The 22964-nt window shown below is 39.4% G+C and overlaps 2 protein-coding genes across 2 annotated transcripts; both read right to left on the minus strand.

The window, feature by feature from the left end:
• Positions 1–3771: 3771 nt before the first annotated feature.
• On the minus strand, positions 3772–21454 carry OR51E2 (olfactory receptor family 51 subfamily E member 2). Its single transcript, NM_030774.4, has 2 exons — positions 21254–21454; positions 3772–6362 (listed from the first exon to the last, which is right to left on the minus strand). Exon 2 carries the CDS (start codon positions 6310–6312, stop codon positions 5350–5352), a length of 963 nt encoding a protein of 320 aa, NP_110401.1. The 5' UTR covers positions 6313–6362; positions 21254–21454; the 3' UTR covers positions 3772–5349.
• Positions 14024–21454, minus strand: OR51C1 (olfactory receptor family 51 subfamily C member 1). Its single transcript, NM_001396051.1, has 2 exons — positions 21254–21454; positions 14024–15288 (listed from the first exon to the last, which is right to left on the minus strand). Exons 1-2 carry the CDS (start codon positions 21260–21262, stop codon positions 14359–14361), a joined length of 939 nt encoding a protein of 312 aa, NP_001382980.1. The 5' UTR covers positions 21263–21454; the 3' UTR covers positions 14024–14358.
• Positions 21455–22964: the final 1510 nt, after the last annotated feature.

The raw sequence follows: 22964 nt of genomic DNA on the forward strand, positions 1-22964 counted from the left end.
TCCCAGTTACTCGGGAGGCTGAGGCAGGAGAATGGCGTGAACCTGGGAGGCAGTGAGCCAAGATCGCGCCACTGCACTCCAGCCTGGGAGACAGCGAGACTCCGTCTCAAAAAAAAACAAAAAAACAAAAAAACCAGAATTCTTATGTTTATAAATTTTGCTAAAACCCAGTAGCTAAAGAACACTAGGGCCATACCTGTAGTCAAACAATGTTAGATTATTAACTTGCTGCAGTTAAGAAGAACAATTCAATGGAAGAAAGTATTTCAAAAGGAGAGAGTTAGGGAAGCCTATTTATGGAGTGTGGGGGATCTAGGGTTAGTCATAGGATGGTTTTCACATGGATTGTTCAGGGATTTTGTCTTTAGAACATGTGAGTTCATGCAGAGTTATGGTTAGATCAGTTTATCTTTGATCTGCAATCACATGGTCTGAACAAACTGTTACTAAAAGAATTTAAGCTTGGGGCTGGGCACGGTGGCTCACACCTGCAATCCTAGCACTTTGGGAGGCTGAGGCAGGTGGATCACCTGAGGTCAGGTGTTCCAGACCAGCCTGGCCAACGTGGTAAAACCCGGTATTTACTAGAAATACAAAAAATTAGCCAAGCGTGCTGGCAGGCACCTGTAATCCCAGCTACTCGGGAAGCTGAGGCAGGAGAATCGCTTGAACCCGGGAGGTGGAGGTTGTAGTGAGCTGAGATCGTGCCATTGCACTCCAGCCTGGGCAACAAGAGTGTATTGAGACAACTGTGTCTCAATAAATAAATAAATAAATAAAAGAATTTGGACTTGTATAGTTTGTGATGCCGACCTTAGATTGGGCTGGCCCAGTTAATTTAATTTGTGTTTTGCATGTTGTCTTTTTTATGGGGTTTCTTTCAATTTTCAGTTCTCCCTTCACAGGTTAGCTGCTCACAGGGACAATTTTTCCCCCTTTTATAACTTTTAGGTTTGTATTTGTCAGAGTTCTCCAGAGAAGCAGAATCAAAAGGAGATATGTAGATAGATAGACACATAGATAGATAGATAATATGTAGAGATAGAGAAATAGAGATATTTATGTTGAGGAATCAGCTCACGCAATGGAGACTAGTGAATCCAGTATCTGCAGGGTAAGTCAGTAGACTGCAGAGCCAACGTGGAACCAACATGGCAATTAAGTCCTCAGGCCATGTCTGTTGGGATAATTCTTGTTGCCCAGGGGCGGTCATTCTGGCCTATTAAGGCCTTCAACTAATTGGATGAGGCCCACCCCCATTATGGAGGACAATCTCCTTTACTCGAAGTCCTCTGATTAAAACATTAATCTCATCTGGAAAAAAACACCCTTACAGGAAAATCCAGAAAACATGTGTGACTAAGTATCTGGGTACTGTGGTCCAGCCAGTGGACACATAATATTAACCATCACAAGGTCATATGATTTTTTTCTCAGCCACATGATCACAACTTTATTATTCCAATCAGTAAGGTATTGCTAAATTATTACTTGACAGTCATAGAAGGATAATTGAAAGTATAATTATACTTACATAATTATAATTGAATTGTATAATTCAATTACACAAAGTATAATTGAAGGATCTTTTTTCTATTTCTGTACTGCTGTCTGAGAAATGAAACCTACAATAAGGTTATAGGTAGAAAAATGGAGAAGAGAAAGTTGACTTACCTAAGTGTGCACAGTGCCAGGAAGCCTGGTCTCCCGCCTTCTGTTTGCTCAGCCTTAGGCTAGGTGACCAGATGTACATACAGCTGGTATCCTTCAGGATGGGATTTGAAGGCTATAAAAATTGCCACTATAAATAATGGCCCTGTTACAACCTTGGTAGTCCTACTATTAAAACTTTATTACTTTGAACTAAATATCATCCTCTTCAAGCTACTCTTGAACTCCTGGGCTGAAACGATCCTCCTACCTCAGCTTCCCACAGTGCTGGGATTACAGGCGTGAGCCACAGCACCTGGCAACACATTTTGAAAAAAGAAAAAAAAAAAACAATAATATATTTTAAACCTAACATCTAAAATATAATCATTTCAACATATTCTTAAGATAAAATTGATAATGAGAGTTTTACATTATTTTTGCAATTTTTATTGTGATAAACATACATAAAATAAAATTTAACATTTTAAACATTAAGTGTACAATTCAGTAACATTAAGCAGATTCATATTGTTGTACAACCATAACCACTATCTATTTCCAGAACTTTTTTTATCATCCCAAACTGAACCTCTGCACCCATAAACAATAACTCTCCATCCTCCCCTCCCCCAGCCCCTGGTAACCTGTATTCTACTTTCTTTCTTTATGAATTTGCCTATTCTAGATACCTTATATGAGTGGAATCATATATTATTTGTCCTTTTATCATCTCGCTTATTTTATTTAGCATAATGTTTTCAAGTTTCATCCATGTTGTAGCAGGTACCAGATTTTTAAGAATGAATAATATTCCACTGTATATATAAACCACATTCTGTTTATCCATTCATCTGTTGATGGACATTTGGGTTATTTCCACCTTTTGGTTATTGTGGATAATGCTGCTATGAACATTGGCACAGAAGTCTTTGGCCTACTTTTTTTTTTTTTTTTTTTTTTGAGAAGGAGTGTCACTCTGTCGCCCAGGCTGGAGTGCAGTGGTGGTGATCTGGACTCACTGCAAGCTCCGCCTCCCTGGTTCAAGTGATTCTTCTGCCTCAGCCTCCAGAGTAGCTGGGATTACAGGTACCCACCATCATACCTGGCTAATTTTTGTATTTTTAGTGGAGATGGGATTTTACCATATTGGCCAGACTGGTCTTAAACTACTGGCCTCAGGTGATACACCTTCCTCAGTCTCCCAAAGTGCTGGGAATACAAGCGTGAGCCACCGTGCCCAGCCTGGGCTACTTTTAAAAGTTAAAAATCTTAGGACAGAGGAAAGGGGAGAGGAGATAGTAAGAATATATAAACAACCTATCATAGTGGGAGACAGTAAGGGATTAGCTATTCACAGAAGAGAGAGAAAGAAATCCACTATTCATTAAATTGTCAATATGGCTATGTTGTTAGGCATATGGAAGTAGGCTGGAGGATCCAAATTGCGGTAAAGCAACGGACAGGAAGGTAGAAGAGGACTGAGATTGTGGGGAGAGACATAACAGAGTTTAACCTCATAAAATGAGGCACCTGACCTCATTATTTGAGGGTGGGGCCCAACACCTGAATCTCCACTTTACAGAGCATGGGTACACTTTCATTTCTTTAGAGAAATCACCCATTTCTTCCATTGTGTTTTCTCCCCTTAGCCCTGGCCTATGCACATTGATTAACTGCATGACTTTGGAAGCCACTTTACTGCCTCTGAACAATGAAGCACAGTTGAATGCTCACAGATCTATATGCTAGCAGAATCTGTCATCAGTACACATCAAGTATCTGTGGTTCCCTCCTCCTAAGAGAGAGCCTACAGTATAGAGTCTCCCTCATGGTTTATCTACCCAAGTCCTGCACCCAAGACTTGTTTAGTGAAGCTACAGAGGGAACATATAGGCCCAATGATTGTATTCAGATCTCAGCTGCTCACTGGATCTGCTCAAAAGTACAGTGGGAATACCCTACCTTGAAATAAGATGCATTCAGCATCCTTACTAACGTGTGAACCATTCCAGTCAGGATTCCTGCACTGGTGAGAAAGAAGACTAGGAAATCACTCACATCTCCAATTCTGATTTATAGGATTCTATAAATGTAAAATCAATAGGCATAACACTCAGCAAAATTTAAAATAAAATTTTATTTTATCTTATACTCAAGTTCAGACAATAGCATGTGGTGTACATTCAAAATTTTTGACAGGTACAGAGCACATTAAAAAATGAAGACATGATCAAGGAGATGTAAGAGACAAATAGACAACAACATTCTCCCTGAATCTGGAAAAAAGCAAGCAATAAGATCACGAAAGGCAGCTGTAAAACAGGATTATTCTGCATGTGTTGCCCACAACTAGGGCAAGGTTATCTCTCATCACAAGTACAAAGCCATTGATGTTAGTGTGTAACAGAGAGAAAACAGAGGATTTGTACAGCTGAGGAAATAAATGGCAGATGTTACACAGGAAGCAATATAACATGGTCATTAAGTAACTGTATTCAACCATCAAATTTAATTTTAAATCTTGGCACAGTGCCCACAAGCCGTGTGACTTTAGTCCCCTTGATAATATAAACTTCATTTCTCTCACTTATAATAAAGAGACACAAATGGTACCTACTCCATAAAGTTACGAAGAACACATAAAACCTGTGAAGCACTTATAATAGTGCCAGAACATTGTGAGCACACATGAGATGTTCATTGGCATTATTATTAAGGGCTTATATAAATTCCCAGGTAATGCATAATAACAGTAGAGACTGTGACAAGCCCTGGCTTCCATAAATTGTCAGCTTCATTTTCCCTGTTTCATTTGATATGTTATTCCATTTTATGCTTTGAGACAGGGTCTTGCTCTGTTGCCCAGGCTGGAGTGTAGTGGTACGATCGTGGATCACTGTAACCTCAAACTCCTGGACTCAAGCGATTCTCCCACCTCAGCTTTCCAGGCAGTGGGGGCTATAGGTGCACACCACCATGCGAAGCTATCATATTCCCTATTTAAAAAGTTGTACACAGGCCGGGCACAGTGGTTCACACCTGTAATCCCAACACTTTGGGAGGCTGAGGCGGGTGGATCACAAGGTCAGGAGATCGAGACCATCCTGGCCAACATGGTGAAACTCTGTCTCTACTAAAAAATACAGAAAATTAGCCAGTCATGGTGGCACGTTCCTCTAGTCCCAGCTACTCGGGAGGCTGAGGCAGAAGAATTACTTCAACATGGGATGTGGAGGTTGCAGTGAGCCGAGATCGCGCCACTGCACTCCAGCCTGGTGACAGAGCGAGACCCCATCTCAAAAAAAAAAAAAGTTGTATGTGACAGCTAACCATAATAAAAAAAAAAGAAAGAAAAAAGAGAGAGAAAGTAGGGACAACACTAAATCATTAGTAATTTGAGCACATTTCCTCCAAGGCATATGCTATTTTTCAACTTGGTTTCAATCATGTATCTTTATTGTTTTTCTTAATGTTATAAGCATGTTTGGTTTTATTGTAGTCTTTAAATCATGTAATACTTCATTAGTATGTATTATTCCACATAATAGTCCTTTAGGTAGATGTACCATACTTTAGTTTACTATTCCAGCCAGAGAAAAGTACTGATGTGCTTATGGGCAACTGGAAATAAGCTAGTGTTAGAAATAATTATGTTTATCAAGCCAATAAAGATAAGGAGAAGTGTAGTGTTAAGGGTCACTTGCCTCCCACAGCCTGCAAGTCCTTGTCACAGCTGATCTTGAACATAGCCAGCACCCGTGTTCTGATCTGTTTGGTTTTGGCACCATAGATGATGGGATTGATGACAGGAGGCAGCAGCAGGTAGATGTCACCCATGACAACACGCACAATGGGATGAAGGCTGTTTCCAAAGCGGTGTACCACTGAGAGGCCAATAAGTGGCACATAGAAGGCGAGTACCACACCAATGTGTGACACACAGGTTCCAAAGGCCTTGGCCCGCTCTGACTTGGAAGGCAGTTGCAGAACCGTTCGTATTATCAGAAAATAGGACAAGGAGATGAACATTACGTCCACGCCCATGACCAGCAGAATGGCAGTAAGACCATATACCACATTGGGCAAAGTGTCTGCATAGGCCAACTTCATTACATCCTGGTGGACACAATAGGAGTGCGAGAGGACATTGGAGTGGCAGAAGGCCAGCCGCTTGATCAGCAGAGGCAGTGGGAAAAAAAAGAGGGATCCGCGGACCACAGCCACGATGCCAATCTGGGCTGTTACTGTATTGTTGAGCACTGCAGCATGGCGCAGTGGGTGGCAGATGGCCACATAACGGTCAAAGGCCATGGCCAGCAGGATGGTGGATTCAATGGCTGAGAGGGCATGAATAAAGAACATCTGGGTAAGACAGGCCTCAAAGCTAATCTCTCGGGAATCAAACCAGAAAAGGGCAAGGATCTTAGGCATGGTGGATGTGGATAAGGCCAGGTCAATGGCTGCAAGCATGCAGAGAAAGAGGTACATCGGAGCGTGCAGGCTGCGTTCCGTCCTTACGATGAAGACCACGATGCAGTTTCCAAACATTGCCACTACATACATGGAAAGGAGGGGGAAGCCAACCCAGAAATGGGCTTTCTCTAATCCTGGGATACCAATAAGCACAAAGGTGGCATGTGTGAAGTTGCAGGAACTCATAGCTGGAACTGAGGAGGGGTGACTGGAGAGGGTGAGGTCACACTGGCAGTCTGCAGGGACATAGAGCACAATCAGAGAATGCCCTGGAAACTTGAAACTGACATCCCACCCCTTTTGTCTTCTCCCACCCCCACTTAGGGTCTTTCATAAGCTCTGAGGCCCTCTTCCAAAGGCGGGACTGTGACAGATCAAATTCATTTATGCATCACTACTCTCAAGGTTTATTTAAATTTTTAAAAGGGAATCTTGGGAGAGCAATGCTTTTTCCAAAATGTAATTCCCTCAGATTCTTCCTACTGGTCCATACCTTCGTTGCCTGGATATTTGTTGGCCCTTTTTTTTCTGATAGGTGTTAAGAGATACACTTTTGGGAGCTCCTTCCAGATAAGGCTGCCTTTCTCATTTTACTTTCCCTGCTTCCCTCCCCCCACTTTCTTTCTTTCTATTATTCATTCATTCCAGAAGCATTACTAGCATAATATATGCATTTAATTCATGAGAAAGGGAGAGGCATGATCACAGAGGAATCTTCCTGTTTAGACTTGAAACATGAGTAGAAATTAGACAGAGTGGAATAATGGGTGTTCCAAGGCAGTGAGGATAGGAGATAACTTTGCAAATTTTCAGGATTCCCAGTCCTCAATTCTAAAGTCAGCCAGAGGAATAAGAAGCACAGCAATGACACTTTTTTTTAAAGCTTAAAAGAATATAAATAAACAAAAACTAAGAAAAAAATGCCAAAAGTCAATCTCTTTCGGATTAAAGGAAACTCATCTGTGGTCATAAAATCAAGGTAGTGGCTCCCTCCGATGACTTCTTCAGAGATGAAGGTGCTGGCAGGACACTGGTGAGTACCTCCGCACCTGAAAGCTTCTTCCAAGGCCATTTTAATTGCATCCAAGGATAGTTTGAGTTGAGTCCTTACTTTGGAGAAGTATTATTAATTTTACAATGATATTTTTAGAGCTTTGTCTTTCCTGAAACTTGTGCCAACAAGTCATTCATCTCAGGGGAGACATTTCTTTTTTAGAAGCCCAGTGTTGCTTTGCCCCAACTCCCTACCCTCACCCAAACACCTGGGCTCTGACTTCATGAAACTTCTTCTCTGCTAGGTTGCCTAGGTGCCCTGGTCTTTAGAGCTAATTTTCTCTAAAAAGCCAAAGCCTTGGCTGCAAGGCCTAACTTTTGGAAACAAATGATGCAGTGTCTTCATTGATCATCTGTTTCATTGAAACAGGTTAGCTTGCTTATATTGCACTCCCCCAACCCCAGAATTCTTCACTCATCATCTGAGTTCTTACTGCAGCTGGGAGATGCCCTTCAGTTTGGCCTTAATGTAGAGGGGTTAGATACCAGTGATCTTAAAGTACAATATGATAAAATTAGTACAAAGAGATTTGAACTGGATTCTCCCCATCTTGGATAAGCAAAGAAGGACAGATTTGGGGTTTGAAGGTTACAAAACCCATACTTCTGCCTGTATTTTCTCTTCTCCACCTTCAGAACTTGTGCAGACAAAACAGCTAAGCTCCTTGACAAATATTAAATCCCATATTTGGCTCCCAGTTGCTATCAGAACATGAAAAGCCCTTTTCAGAAGCAGATGATTGCATCCTTTAGTGAGATACAAGATAGTTTGCATCTTGCATCCATCCATCCATTTCTGTATCCGTCATAGCTTGGGGAAGGGGATATAGAACTTTAAACAAATCATACTGAAATATATGGGACAGAACTAAGGAACCTTCCCTGAAGAGAGGTCAGATCACTAGACCACTGTGTTCCAGAGAAATGGGACCCAGGGTGAAGAAAAGAGCAGGCATGGAGGGAGAGCAAGGGGAACACAGGGACGTATATTTACTTTCTTAATGCCTTTTGCCCATGCTACCACATGCAGTGCTGACAGATAACAAGAGTCTTTATTGGACCCAGAGCTGGGTACTTTCTTAAGCCCTCTCTCTGCAGAGCATATTTTCTGCCTTGCTGGTACCTGCACATGCTTACTCGAGTATAGGACTTTAGGCTATCATCTCATTTCCCAAAATACCTGTCCTGAAAGACCTCACGTCACCTTCCCATGTTGCCTGGCATCCTGCCTAAAGTAGACTCCCTGCTAAACCCAATTTCAGTTTCTCTTTGGGTCCGAATGTGACTGTTGCATTCATTCTCACTTGCCTTTCCTGATTGTTAGCTAAGACTCTGGGACATTTCTTCCCAGCCCATAAAGCTGTGGATGGGACACAAGGGCTTCTCCCTGCCCTGACTTGAAACAGTATGTGGGGTCTTCAAGGTCCCTTAGGATGGCAGGAGCTAAGCCTGCCTGACCCCAGGTAAGGGTGCACTCACCTGAGAATGGTACAGTCCTACTTAGAAAGAGCAGCTGGAGCTGGTTTTGCTTTCTGGTTCAGGCCTTTTTAATAATGCCACTCAGAAAGCCCATGGGAACAGGCAGTGAGAGTATGAACTGAGGCCCCAGGGACTTGGCAGACAGAGGAAAAACATCTCCATGTCCACTTGTGTGCCATTCCCATGGGCTTCCCACTGTTCCTGTCCAGGGAGAGCAACCTCAAAGCACCCACTGCCTCTTCCATCACTTCCACACTCACATATACAGGGCTCTCGACAATCTGCTCCCACTTCTCCAAGCTAAACCAAGCACACACAGTCAGCCACAGGATTAGTGTGTTTCTTCATGTGCCACTCTGCTAGACGCAGCAGACATCATATGTGACTAGGCATGGTCCTTGGGCTTTAGGAGTTTGCATCCTCTCTAAAAATACAAAAGTATAGTTCCATAATTCAAAATAGGGGCATGCAATTCTCCATATCTTTCCCTAACCTTTCTTCTGGTTAACAAAACAGCCCTTAATGTATCAAAGCTGCTCTTCATTGCTCCTAGATTACAGATAAAGCCCAGATGATATGACAGCTTTTTGTCCTAGGTCATATAGTTAATTAGTGATAATATTGGTTGGAGAACCAGGTATTCCGACTGTTTATTCACATTAAACAAATGTTTGTCAAAGGCTTACAATGTTATAAGCAAAATAGATAAAAAAAACTCACCCCAACTACCTTCTCCAGGATATTGAGGTATCCTCAGTACCTCATGATGCTTGATGGCTGTCTTCCAGTGACGTGTCCCCTACGTCATACCCAGCAGGGTTACCTTCATACTTTATTAATATTTAACACTAACCTGTTCTATCTGCCATCCTTTCTAAGTATGCCTCACACATGAGTCTTGCTTTGTCATTGTCACTGTAATCTTTGAACACAGAAACAGAAGTACTTCCATCAGCCATTAAGTATTTATTGGTCATCTATATCTGGCAATGGAGTTAATTAATTCATTCATTGTGTAATAAGCACATTCTCAAGGCTAGTTTTGTGCAGGCACTGTGCTGAGTTTAGGGTGCCAGAGGTGAATAAGACAAAGTCCTTGCCTTCAGGGTGGTCATACACACCTACCCAAACAAACCTGAAATGGTATGAAAGAGCAGTGAATGCCACAGATTTTTATAGGAACTTGAGAAGGGTATTTATTTAGTCATTGGGTGGGTCCAAAAAGAGGGTATTTCAGCAGGCAGAAAATCATGAAAGAAACAGAATTTTCTATAGAAGAATTACGAAGAGTTGTAGCTTGGCTGAAGCATAGAGTCAACCAAAAAGGAAAGAGAAACTGGAGAGGTCAATGGATGTGAACTGATGATATGCTGTGAACTCAAGGACTTCATCCTGTAGGAATTGGGAGGTGAATAAATGGTTTTAAGCAGGGACATCACAACTAGACATGTGTTTCAGATTGCTATTCCAGAAGCTGTTGGGAGGGTGAATTTGAGGAGGACGAAGTGGAAGTGCTTATGAATTTAGTCATGTGAGACAGGAACTTAAGATACATAGCATTTCCTCATCCTTCACATCCAATTATTCAACCGATCTTGTCTATTTTTCCTTCTAAAAATCTTTTGCATGTTTCCTCTTATTTCCATCTTCACCACCACTACCATGTTCACGTAGCTACAACAGTGGCCATGTGACTACTAGTGCTCTGGCTTTTAGGAAAGTCCCCAACTCATTGTGAGCTTATCCATCTTGGTCAGAGCATGACATTTGTTCTGCAACCCACCCAGTCTCGGTGTCTACATTACCAATTTCCTATAGATGGAAGCTTATAAGCTGCCAGGACTGTTGGACAGGAGGACTGTCCACAGGTTAGCATTTGTGAGGTGAGGTGGGGGACGAGAATCTGCAGAAGTTCTGTGAACATCTCAGTTGTCCTTGAGGTTGACATTCCCTTTTCTCCTTTCCATTTTTAGGACTTTGAGTATCTCCATCCTTTTCCTTCAGCTCTATTTGCTATCCTTTGTAGTAGTAGTGTACAGAAACAAATAAACAAAAAATCTAGTCTGTAGGCCTGTATCATCTGAGCTTTTCCATCTTTCCACTTTGGACCTGCCTGTAGCTTCTCTGGATTTTTGTTTTTGCTTCATTGTGAGTTATAGATATGAAAAGATGATCTGCAGGGGTACGTATTAGGGAATAGAAGGGGAAAGAAATATGTAGAAATAAACTGGCAGTTTATTCAAAATATAAAACACCTCTTTAAAGTGGCCTCCTAATTTTTACTCTTACCTACATTCATTCACTAGACAAAGCAAGTTTTATGTTGGGAAGTGGAAATAAAGCTTCACAAGATTAGGATCAGGGTATACTAGGTCATATGAAAAGGAGCAAACGTTTTATACTAAATGGCAGTACTTGGCACAGTATTCTCCAAAATGTGAAATTTCATGAAAGTATATTTGTAGATATGAAGAACTTTCTGGTATAAAAGAACTTTGTTATCTTCTTGTGTGCCATCTGAATCCTTACACATCAAAGATAGTATTTCTTCATTAATTCAATGAAGAGTAAAAGTTACAATGGACCAGACACTATAGATAGAAATGTGGAAACAGCAGTGAACAGACCCAGTGCCTGGCCCCGAGAAGTGAGCTCAGAGTTTGTTGTGGGGAGAATGGTGACAAGAGAGTTTGGAAAGAGTTGTCTTGAGAGAGAAGAACAAGGTGCTGTAGGAGCACCTGGAAAGGGCACCAGGCAGACCAGAGAGGTCAGGAAAAGTCCCTGAAGGAGAGCCCCTTCTATTCTAAGTCAGGAGAAGGAAGGGAGTGAGAATATTCTAGGTGGAGGTAGGCTTAAAAGGGTCAGGGGATTCTTTGCTGGGACTTAGGACATGCAGGTTGTTTGTTGTCTCTGGGGCATTGTACAGAGGGGAAGCAATGAAGCTTAAGAGGTAAACAGAGCCAGATCATTAAGACATTTTACTATTTTTACTATGTGGCAGGCAGGCCCTGTTTTAGGGCTGGGAGATAGCATAAATGGAACAAATTCTTTATTCTCAAAAACATCATGTTGTAGTAATGAAACTAGAAAATAAATAACATATATGTGATATACTGGGGTATAAAAATGCTAAAAATTAAAAATAAGGCAGATAAAGATGAGAGTGAATTCAGGAGGAATTGAGGGAGAGGTGTTGTTGTTGTTATTATTATAACATCAAGGGCCCTGTAATGGGGTGCACTTGAGCAGAGATCTGTCTAAAGTGAGGTGTAAGTCACGTGGGTCTCTGGAGGACGAACATTCCAGGTTGTGAGAATAGCATGTGTGAACTCTGATGTTGAAGCATGCTTGATGAGTTTAAGAAAATATTTGGAAGCTAGTGTGGGTGACATAGAGTGAATCACTGGCAGAGTAGTAGAAGATGATATTGGGCTGATGGAGGAAATATAGATCATATAGATATTTATATGCTTTTATAGTGACTGTGAATTTTTCCTGGGTAAGACAGGATGCCCTTGGGGTATATTGAACTTGATCTGCCTTGTGCATTAAACTAATCAGTCTAACTTCACTGTGGGGGGAAATAGACTGTAAAGCAAACGTGGATGAAGGAAGGACCACCAGAAAGCTGTTATAATAATTCAGGTCCAAGATGATGGCTTGCATCACAGTGGTAGCAGTAGAGATGGTATAAATTGACTTGATTTTAGACATCAATATCAGAGAGATCTAGAAGAAAGGGTCACCAGGATTTACTAAAAGGTTAGATGTAGCATCGGGGTGATAGAAAGGCATCAGGGATAACTCCAAGTGCTTTGTCTCAACACATTGGAAGGTAGAGTTACTGAGTTAGAGAAGACTGTGGGTGAGCATGCTTTTTCCTTGATGGGGATATTAGTATATATTAGACGTTGATTCTAAGATGATTATGAAACATTCAAGTAGTGATATTGATACACAGGCAGTGGGATAAGTCTGAACTACAAATATTAATTTGGATTTTGTCAGCATAGAGATGGTACTTAAAGACATGATACTGGATGGGATGACCAAGGAAGGGATTATGACAAAGCAAAAAGGTCTGAGAACAAAGTCCCAGGACATTGCAACATATAAAGATGAAGAGTAACAATAATTGAAACTGAAATGTTGTTGTCAAACAGGCTGAGGATTTGACATAATTCTTACAGTACTATAAATACTATAGTCACTTAATAAATTTCCTACAGGGAATGATGAGGAAACCAGAAAAGAAACAGCCTATATGTAATATGTTGGGGAATAAAAATGCTAAAAATTAAAAATAAGGCAGGTAAGGATGAGAGTGAATACAGGAAGAAACTGAGGGAGAGGTATTGCTATTATAATTATTATAACATCAAGGGCCCTGTAATAAGGTGCAGTTGGCAGAGATCTCCATAAAGCGAGGGGGCAAGCCTGTAGATACGAATGATTACTTCTACTTCCTTTCTGGACCTGATACCAACTATACAGCCCATCTTAAATTAGTGATATTAGTGTGGCATTGAAATATATGCTTTAAAAATTTTGAGAATTAATGGACACACCCAGGGTGGAATGAATTATCTTTCTGAATTGAGCCATTACATGACCATTATGACACAAATTTAAAAATTCATAAGTAAATGACCATAATTCATTTGTAGTCACTTTCCATTTCTGCTGGGGCAGAATGTTGATGGAGGGTTGACAGAAATGCTGAAATATGCTTGAGTCAGGAAAGATCATCAGGTAGAAATATATCTGTAAGGTATGAAGATTTGATTTGGGCTTTTTCTCCCTAATTTGACTGAAAATTTCTAGAGGATAGAGTTGTGGTTTTTTTTAATTAATTTTTTTACTTCTTTATGTTTCCTAGTAAAAATTGCCTGAACTTCTCTCTATATTTATATTTATAAATATAAATATAATTTACACATATAAGTACATAATTTATAAATATAAGTTTATATATATAAGTTCATATAATTTTTACAAATATAAATTATATATAAATTATATACCTATATATTATATTATAGGTAGCAATATAACATTAAAATTAAGAGTGTGGGGGACTCTGGAGTCAGTCTGCATGGATGTGCTCTGCCATCAGCAACACCAGTTACTAGCTGTTTAAGCAAGCTACTTAACATTTCATGCCTCAATTTTCTTATTGATAATTAAAGTGATTATCTTATAACATTGTTTTAGATATAAAATATGTTAATACATACAAAAAACACTTAGAACCATGACTTGTCAGAGCAAATAATAAATGGCAATCGAAATTACTAGAACAGTTGGAAAATACTACCTATTTCTCACAAAGGAGTGACTTTTCTGTAATGTGTCATTCTAAAGGCTATGAAGTAGATGAGATAATAACAGAAAGGGTGTTGGCAGGGACAGAAGGCAACAACAGTTTGGACCCAACAGTGGTGTGAGAAGGAGAAATTTTATATATAAGGCTAATTTTAGGCTGTTCATCTCTTCCATCCCATGTCTTCACCTCCTCATCTGGAAAATAAAGTAGTCAAACTAGCTGATGTTCTAGATACATTCCAGCTTTAACTTTAAATGATTATGTGCTTAGCTTCAATGGGCACCAGTTCTTTGGTTGTTTTTTGTTTTTAATTGGAAACATGACCTGAAGTATACCATCTTGAGGGGTCCATCTAGTGCTAGAATTCTACAATTTTATGTTTCTTTGGAATGGAGAATTTTTATCACAGCTCTACGTATCTGTTTGGTTTTCACACTGTAGATGACAGGGTTCATCAAAGGGGAGATCAGCAGGTAGGTGTTAGCAATCATAGTATGTACATAGGCTGGGGCTTGTTTCCCAAATCTGTGAACAATGGACAGACTGATCAATGGAATGTAATATATAGCAAAAGCCACAATGTGGGAGACACATGTACTGAAGGTTTCCTTCCTCTCTTCTGGGGAAGCAACGCTAAGGACAGTCCTAATGATCAAAACATAAGAAAGGAGGATGAGAAGTAAGTCTACACCAACAGTAGAGAACATGGCAGTCAGCCCAACTGCACTGTTGATTCTGGTGTCTGTGCATGAGAGCTTCATCACATCAGGGTGGTAGCAGTAGGAGTGGTGGAGTACTTGGCTGTGGCAGTAGGAAAGTCTTATAAGAAGTGCTACCATTGGTGTCAGCATTAGGAGCCCCCTGATGACACTTGCCACTCCAATTTGAGCTATTCTGGAGTCAGTTAAAATCATGGCATACCTAAGGGGATTAGAGACGGCCACAAAACGATCAAAAGCCATGGCCAACAGCACTGAGGATTCCATGACAGTGAAGAATTTAATAAAGAACATGTGGGACAAGCAGGCATTAAAGCTGATTTCCCTCACATTGAACCAGAATATACTCAGCATGGTGACCAGAGTGGATATGGACAGGCCGAGGTCAGTGGCGGACAGCATGGAGAGGAAATAGTACATTGGTTCGTGGAGGCTGGGCTGAGTGATGGTAGCGAAGAGGATCAGGCTGTTTCCCAAGAGAGCAGTTACAGAGAGGAAGCAGAAGGGAATGGAGATCCAGGTGTGGAAGGCTTCCAGCCCAGGAACACCAGTGAGCAGGAAAATGATGGAAGTGGAGGTGATATTCTGCAAAGTTGACGTGATGAATTAAAAGTACAGAACGAGATGAGAGCTTAAACAAAAAAAAGCTACATTCATTTGTGTATTGATCGAATTAAAATAATTTTATTGTACAGAAAACTGATGAGTATTTATATAATATGAAACTATGAATGGCTCATTTAAATTGATTAAAAAATGTCAGATTTCAACTGCTGTAGTGGGCACTTTGGTTTGTTTTTGAATTTGCCTTAGTGTACAATCTTTCTTCTCTAGGGCCCTTTGCTGGCAGCTATGTTTATATCATGTGACCACTCCTCTGATCGTTCTAGCCATAGATAACCAAACTAAGAATAAACACTTTACCCTGAGTTTGCCAATCATATTTCATTCTTTATGGCATGTTTAAATTGTGCTAAAGAGGTAGTGCATTATTTTTCCTCTATGGTTGGCACCAGAGAAAAATACACTGGGGCTGTGGAACAGCAATATTACATTGGTCATAAGTGTGGAAAGCAGAGAAGCTTACAGACAATTTGGGAAGCCAGAAAATATGAAGAAAGAGATCATTATAATACAAAGTAACACATAGGAAGTGACAAATAAATGGCTTCAGCATCTAACCATTAAAGAAACCCTTACAATATGATACCCGGCATCATATTTGGAAGAGATGGTTAGAACACAGACCTCCCACCAGGCTTAGGAAGACAGGAGGCTGCCCCCACCTGATATAATGTGCTGCCACGTTCCAACACAGTTCTCTCTTCAGTCTGCTGGAAGACTAGTTCTCCAGAACAGAATCTCTCTATTTTGTTAAGACATACTTCTTAGGAGATACCTAATTGAATGTTACTGTTTTGTTTCGGAGGGAAAAATATAACTTTATTGCAAACATCACATTTCTTTTTTCATAGAGTAGAGAATTGCAGAAAGGTAGATAGATGGGTATGGTTGAGTTGAAGACGGGGGTCTAGGGAAAAACAGAGATTAGGGTTGTGGCTGCAGAGGGCTCAATCAATGAGAGAGAGCCAGTTGCAGGGTAACTTCTTCAGAGGAAAAGAAAGGGTGCTGGGTGGCTGACAGTAAGTGTTGACAAAAGAGAGGATGGAGAGGAACCTCAACGTATCCAGACTCACACATTCACCCTGATAAAGTGCCACCTCAAGGATCACCGGAAGAAGTCTTAGTGAAAAAAAAAGGGGGGGTGGGGGTGTGATTTAACTAAAATTAACAGAAAACTAGATGAAAAACAAGAAATTATAGATTACACGATTTGGCCAAATAATGAAACTATAGCTTTAGATTCTGAAATTTACAGTAATGACAGTGTCCTCAGGCGAGTGATGAAAATATCTAAAATGTATGATCAAACCTCTTAGAGAAATAAGAATTATAGTTAATGTATAGTATATTTCAAAAAAACTAAAAGAGAGAATTTTAAATGTTCACAGCACAAAGAAATGATAAATATTTGAGGTGATGGATATGATAATTAGCTTGATTTGGTCATTCCACAATGCATACATGTATAACAACATCACATTTTACCCCACAAATATATACCATATTATTTGTCAACTAGAAATAAGATAAAATGATTTTGAAAAACCAAAACACACTAAAAAGGAATTACCAGAAAGAGAGCATTCAGTAGGTTTGTAGTATTTGGAGAAGGCTTTCTAGAAAAAGCAGTGCTTGAAAGATTTCTGTGTTTTATGTAAGTTGAGACGAAGAATTCCCAGGCTTTCAGAACGGCATGTGTAAAAGTGTTGAGCAGGCTGGGCGCGGTGGCTCACGCCTGTAGTCCCAGCACTTTGGGAGGCCGAGGTGGGCGGATCACGAGGTCAGGAGATCGAGACCATCCTGGCTAACATGGTGAAACCTCGTCTCTACTAAAAATACAAAAAATTAGCCGGGCGTGGTGGCGGGCGCCTGTAGTTCCAGCTACTGGGGAGGCTGAGGCAGGAGAATGGAGTGAACCTGGAAGGCGGAGCTTCCAGGTGAACCGAGATGGCGCCATTGCACTCCAACCTGGGCGACAGAGCGAGACTCCGTTTCAAAAAACAAACAAACAAACAAAAAACTGTTGAGCAACAGTGCACTTGTAACACTTCTCTTGATCTTGCTTTACTATCTCAGGGACATTAACTGAGTATCTGGATCTTACATAGTGCTATTTTAGAAGCTAAAGGACAACACAAATAAAACCCCACTTAGAGAGTTTATAATCCAGTGAGGCAGAAAGAGCAGAACCGTTTTTCAATAATTTCAATATCTCATATACAGCGATGAATAATAAAAATGGTTATGAAAGTACAGAGGGGCTCCATTTATGTCAATTAATTCTGGCTTTCATGATTTTTAGTTCCTACGCAATATCTGAGTTGTAATTTTTGTCATTGTGTTGTAGGACATTTTATGTAACCACTTAAAAAAATTAAATTGCTATTTGAATAATTTCTCTTTCATCCTAACTTCTTCATATCTCCCATTACCTCATTTCAACAATTTATTCATTGCCTATTTTCATTCTTCTTGGTAGTTTTTTTCCTCCTTCTTGCCAAGAGATCATAAACAAAACAAAAGAAAACCATAGTGTATATATTTTGACCTGATCTGTGTTGGGCCTAGCAAAAAAAAAATGACTTCTCTCCTTTCCATCACTTTACAAGCATATCTTCCTGCATCCTTCCTACGTTCACGCTGGGCTCAGAGACAGAGGGTACCTTATTCTTTTTCCTAGCCAATAACTCCACTTTAGCTCCTATCAACCAGAAACACTTAGTTCAGTTCAAACTGAACTAAACTATACATATATATACGTGTATATATATATATACACACACATATATATATATACACACACACATATATACGTATATATATATACACACACACATACATATATATATACACACACACACACACACACACACATATGCAGGGAGCTGAGCTTGCTGTGTCAAGAGTCTAGGGACTCTTACTGAAAATAAAAAATGACTAATTTTAAATATCTACTACATGCCAGACAGCGTCTATCAGCAGTAACAGAAACAAACAGATAAATGCTACTAGTTGTAGAGTGTATAAGGATAGGATGTATCTAATTGATAAGGCAGAAGAGATAATAGTGTGGAGTGGCAGATTTGGAGTGTGTGCATACATGAATGTGTCTGTGTGTGTCAAGAAGAACTAGTTCCAAGAATGTTAACAGAATGTATGCTTTATAACTGTGTGAAGTTTTGATGGGTAAATGTGAGTTTATAAGGATGAAAAACAGGGGAAGTGTGCTTTTGCAGTGCCGTTGATAAAATGAGGAGAGACATGAATGAAAGAATAACATAAGCCAGTTTGTTGGATAACTACAAGAGAAGGGGTATATCGAAGTCTTAAATGTGAGGCTAGGTGCTGTGGGAAATGAAGCTAGAGAAAGCACCAGAGGTCAAATCATGAAAATCTTGAATTCCATGGACAGTGTAATGAACTTAAATTTTTGCAGAGCATCAAGAGCCAGACATTTCTAACATTTTATTCACCTTTTATTGACCACTGGAAGCAAGGAGCTTTGCTTTTAATAAATAAATCATTTTCCATCTCTTCTCATTTAATGCCAACAAAATTCCTTTCCCTCTTTAGTATCTTGTTTAGTGCCATTGGTTGCTTTTTTGAAGTCTGCAATACTCAAGTTTTACTCTAACTCAACAATAAAAGCTTCCCACAGTTTTGTATAGATATTTCCAAACAATTCATTTCAACCAGGATATATTGAATAGTTTTCATAATTAGCCTTGTGCTTTGATAGTGAGGGATACAAGACATAAGCCCTGTTTCTCTCTCAATTTCCTGCTGTATCTTTTATAAGGATAAAAATTCCTTTGGAGAACAGTCTGCTTTTGTTTATTATTCCTTCACCTTCAGTAACAATCTGAATTCTTTCCCTAATGACTCTGAAAATCCTCCAAATGATGTCACCCGTGATTTTCTACATGCCAAGTCCAAAAGTTTAATCTCAGATTTGTTTTTCTCTCCCTCATCTCAACTTTCAGCAATGTTTACCTCCTCCTCCTTGAAACTTTCTCCTTCATTAGCTTCAGTGATGGTTATTCTGTGAGGTTTTTTTTTTTCCTGTTTGTTAAACAATGGTTTTGTTCTCTGCCTTATAAATTGTGGGATTCTAGAGGAGTCTGCTTTTCTCCCAAGAAGTACCTCTTCTTTTCTTGCTTTTCATATGCTCTCCTTGAGATATCTTGGTTATTCTCATGGCTTTAAATAGCACTTATATCCAGAAGACTCATAAATCTGCAATCTAATTATGGCATCTCCAGAGTTCTGTATTTTAAAAGTTAGCAGAATCTTTAACGCTGTGGCAAAGTTTCTGGTTTTAAGCGTAAAGGTAGTAATGAGACATGAAAATACAGTGAAGCAATCAAACCTGTAATTTAGAAAAATAATTGACAGCATTTTGGAGAACAAAGCTCCTTGCTGCATGTGGTGAATAAAAAGTAAATAAAATACTGTGGCTACCCCTGAGGGACATCTCTACCCATCATCACTCAGTTACTTCAACTTCTATATGAGACAAATGGAACTCATTCTCTCGTCCCCTCCAAACCTGGCTCTTCCTCCTGCTTCATTTATCAGCAAACGACATCGAACTCTAGTAAATCATTGAATTAAAATTACTACCCACCACACACACACACATGTGTGCACACACATACCCTCCTCTTTCTCTCTCTCATCCCTTACATATAAAGATTAGTTTTTAACTGATTCTACTCCTGAAATGTAAAAGATGAGAACCTCGGGAGGTCTATATAAGAAGGCCAAGCAATTGTTAGTAGTGGGTATTTGCAGCTATTATTTCATTGCATTTTTCTTACATTGAAAAAATCTTAAGTGTTTATATTCAAGACAAGAGGGGGACTAATGAATATCCTTAGAAGGAGGCACTAAATTTCCCCCAAGCTTCTCTTTTGTGCTGCCTTCACTCTAGAATCTTTCCGACCCATCCTCTCCAATCCATATATACTTTCATTTTCTCTCTTGTGAAATAAGCTATATTCTCTCAACTAATTTTTCTGCCCACTCGGATTACAATGATGCTCCTCTTTCATTGCACTATTATAAGCTATAGCTTGTGGCTGTCTTAATCTGCTGAACTAGACCTTATAGTGTCATCAGTATTCTCCATGCTATTGTCAATGGTATGGCTATCATGTGTGACTGACCTGGGTTCAGATTCTTGCTCAAACACTAACTAGTTTTGAGACCATCTACACCATTAATAAAAATATTACTCATAGAAATAGCTACCATTTACTGGACACGTGTTCTGTGAACATTATTGTCCTCAGTGCTTTATAAGCATTATTTTAATTCTTACTATGTCATCATGTGACAAGTATTATTAGATTCACTTTAAATTCATTTTTCTGGTAAAGACACTGAGTATCAGAAGTCTGAAACATATTTGAAATCACATACAACTGGTGAAAGTCAGAGCTGAATTTTTAACTCAGGTCTTTTTAATTCCAAAGCTCGTGCTCTCAAAAACAATTGTTTTACTGAAATCTACAAGTAATATAAACTTTCTGTGACCCAGTTTCCTCATCTATAAGACAGGATATGCGCTGTGTCTAATACCAGTAGCTGGCAGGCAATGCGTTCGAAATTGGTAACTTTTCATTTTTAGTAATAGTTATTGGGCATAGAAATGAGATTCACTGACTGTGATAAATATATCAGCACACTGATTAAACCATTTGACTAAAAACAAGTTATCTAACCTATATCAGGCAGAACGAAATACCCATTCTCTACGTATTTCCTGGGAATAAATAATTCTGAAATTCTACCGTCCTCCTCAGCCCACCATACCAACATCTAATCTAATTCTGCACATTGTGAGGAAATTACTCCCTGTGGGTGAGAAAGTCCAATTCATCTAGAGTCAAGCATTTTCATTGAACAAAACAGTTTTACTTACAGAGCCCATACAGCAGTTCGGCCTGTTCCTTTCAGGCTGACTCAGAAGGCTGAGGAGGCTTTAGATTCCAGGGGAGGGCCGAGCTTGCAAATATGAGGAGACTTATTCCAGCCTGACTGGAGACAGGCACAGAGCTGAAAGGCCAATTCCTGGTGGTGGTGCTAACTCACTGTGTCTTCAGGGTGTGGAGATTCCCAGAAGACTTCTTTTGCCTCATACAGTCCTTTTATATCTGTTCCATTATGCAATTACTTACGGTGGCTATGTGCTTTATGGGCTGATGTAACCTTTTTTTCATGTGTCATTTCACTCAAAAGCTTTTTTATTTAACAGCTTTATTGTTATATCATTCACATACTATAAAATTCACCCATTTATAGTGTATGATTCAATTTTTTTTAGTAAAGTCACAGAACTGTGCAAGAACCATCATCACAATTCAATTTTAGAACATTTTTTATTACCCTTAAAAGGAACCTCATAATCACTAGCAGTCACTCTGAAGGAGATTTTAAAAAACGAAATATTGTAGCAAATTGCTAAATGACATCTCCCATTATGAGTGAGAGTCCAACTCCACCCCTTAACTCCTCAGTATCTATGATTATTCACAGCAGTATGGTTTCATTAGCCCACCTGTGGTTCTTTGCAGCAGCAGTCTTTCTCTTACAGATAAAAAATAATTCATTTACTCATCCATACATATATCCAGTAAATATTTCATAAGAATGTCCCATATTCTAAACATTATACTCAGTGATAGAGTTTTTTTTTTTAAGAATACACCATAATTCTTACTGTTTAGGATTTTAGTGTAGAAGATAGACAGGTTAACCAATAATTACATGTTAACCAATGATAAGGTTATCCTAGAGGCATGAACCAAATGCTTGGTGAATACAGTAGGTAAAAATCTTGGTTCACAACTTACTTGTGTATAAAATACGGTTTCATTTACTTTTTTATAATTTGACCTATTTCGTATTTTGAAGTCCCAACCTACCAGGTTGAAGAGAATTAGTCACAATAATTTGGGGTTCTCTCTACTTATAGTCAAATTTTGAAAATCTTGTATTATACCAAGAAAAATTGCAGGTAGGTGGGTGATTGACTTGGCCAATGATGTCACCTTCTGTCAGTTTACTATCACTCTCATTAGTCTTTAATAAATAGAATGCATAGATTGCTATAAGTTGTCCATCTTTTCTCCTTATGGCCTCTTTAGATCCTTAGATATTCCCACCAATTTGGACCACACTTGGGCATATGGGTCTTTGATTCATTCTCAGTTTCTGTCTCTTACACCCTGCATTTAATCCATTGGTAAATTATGTCAATCTCTTTGAAAAATACAATCAGAAATTGATCACTGTTTATCATCTCCAGAAATGTCACCTTTATTTAAGTCACAATTATCTCTCACTTGGGTAACTTCAGTAGTTTCCTAACCATTCTCCCTGCTTCCGATATTATCTCCTCTCCACTATCAAATCTGTTTCACTACTGAAAATGTCATGGCCTGAGATATTTTCTTCTTCATAATGTAATAAAAACAATAAATAACAAGAACAATAATATTTTATTATGCATTCTACATCCATGATACTAGGCCAAGTGTTTGTGGTAGACAGGATAATGGCCCCTAAAGATACCTATGTCTTAATGCCTGGAACCTGTGAATATGTCACCTTACATTGCAAAGGGACTTTGC

The sequence above is a fragment of the Homo sapiens genome, chromosome 11 (assembly GCF_000001405.40).
Source record: "Homo sapiens chromosome 11, GRCh38.p14 Primary Assembly".
Lineage (NCBI taxonomy): Eukaryota > Metazoa > Chordata > Mammalia > Primates > Hominidae > Homo > Homo sapiens.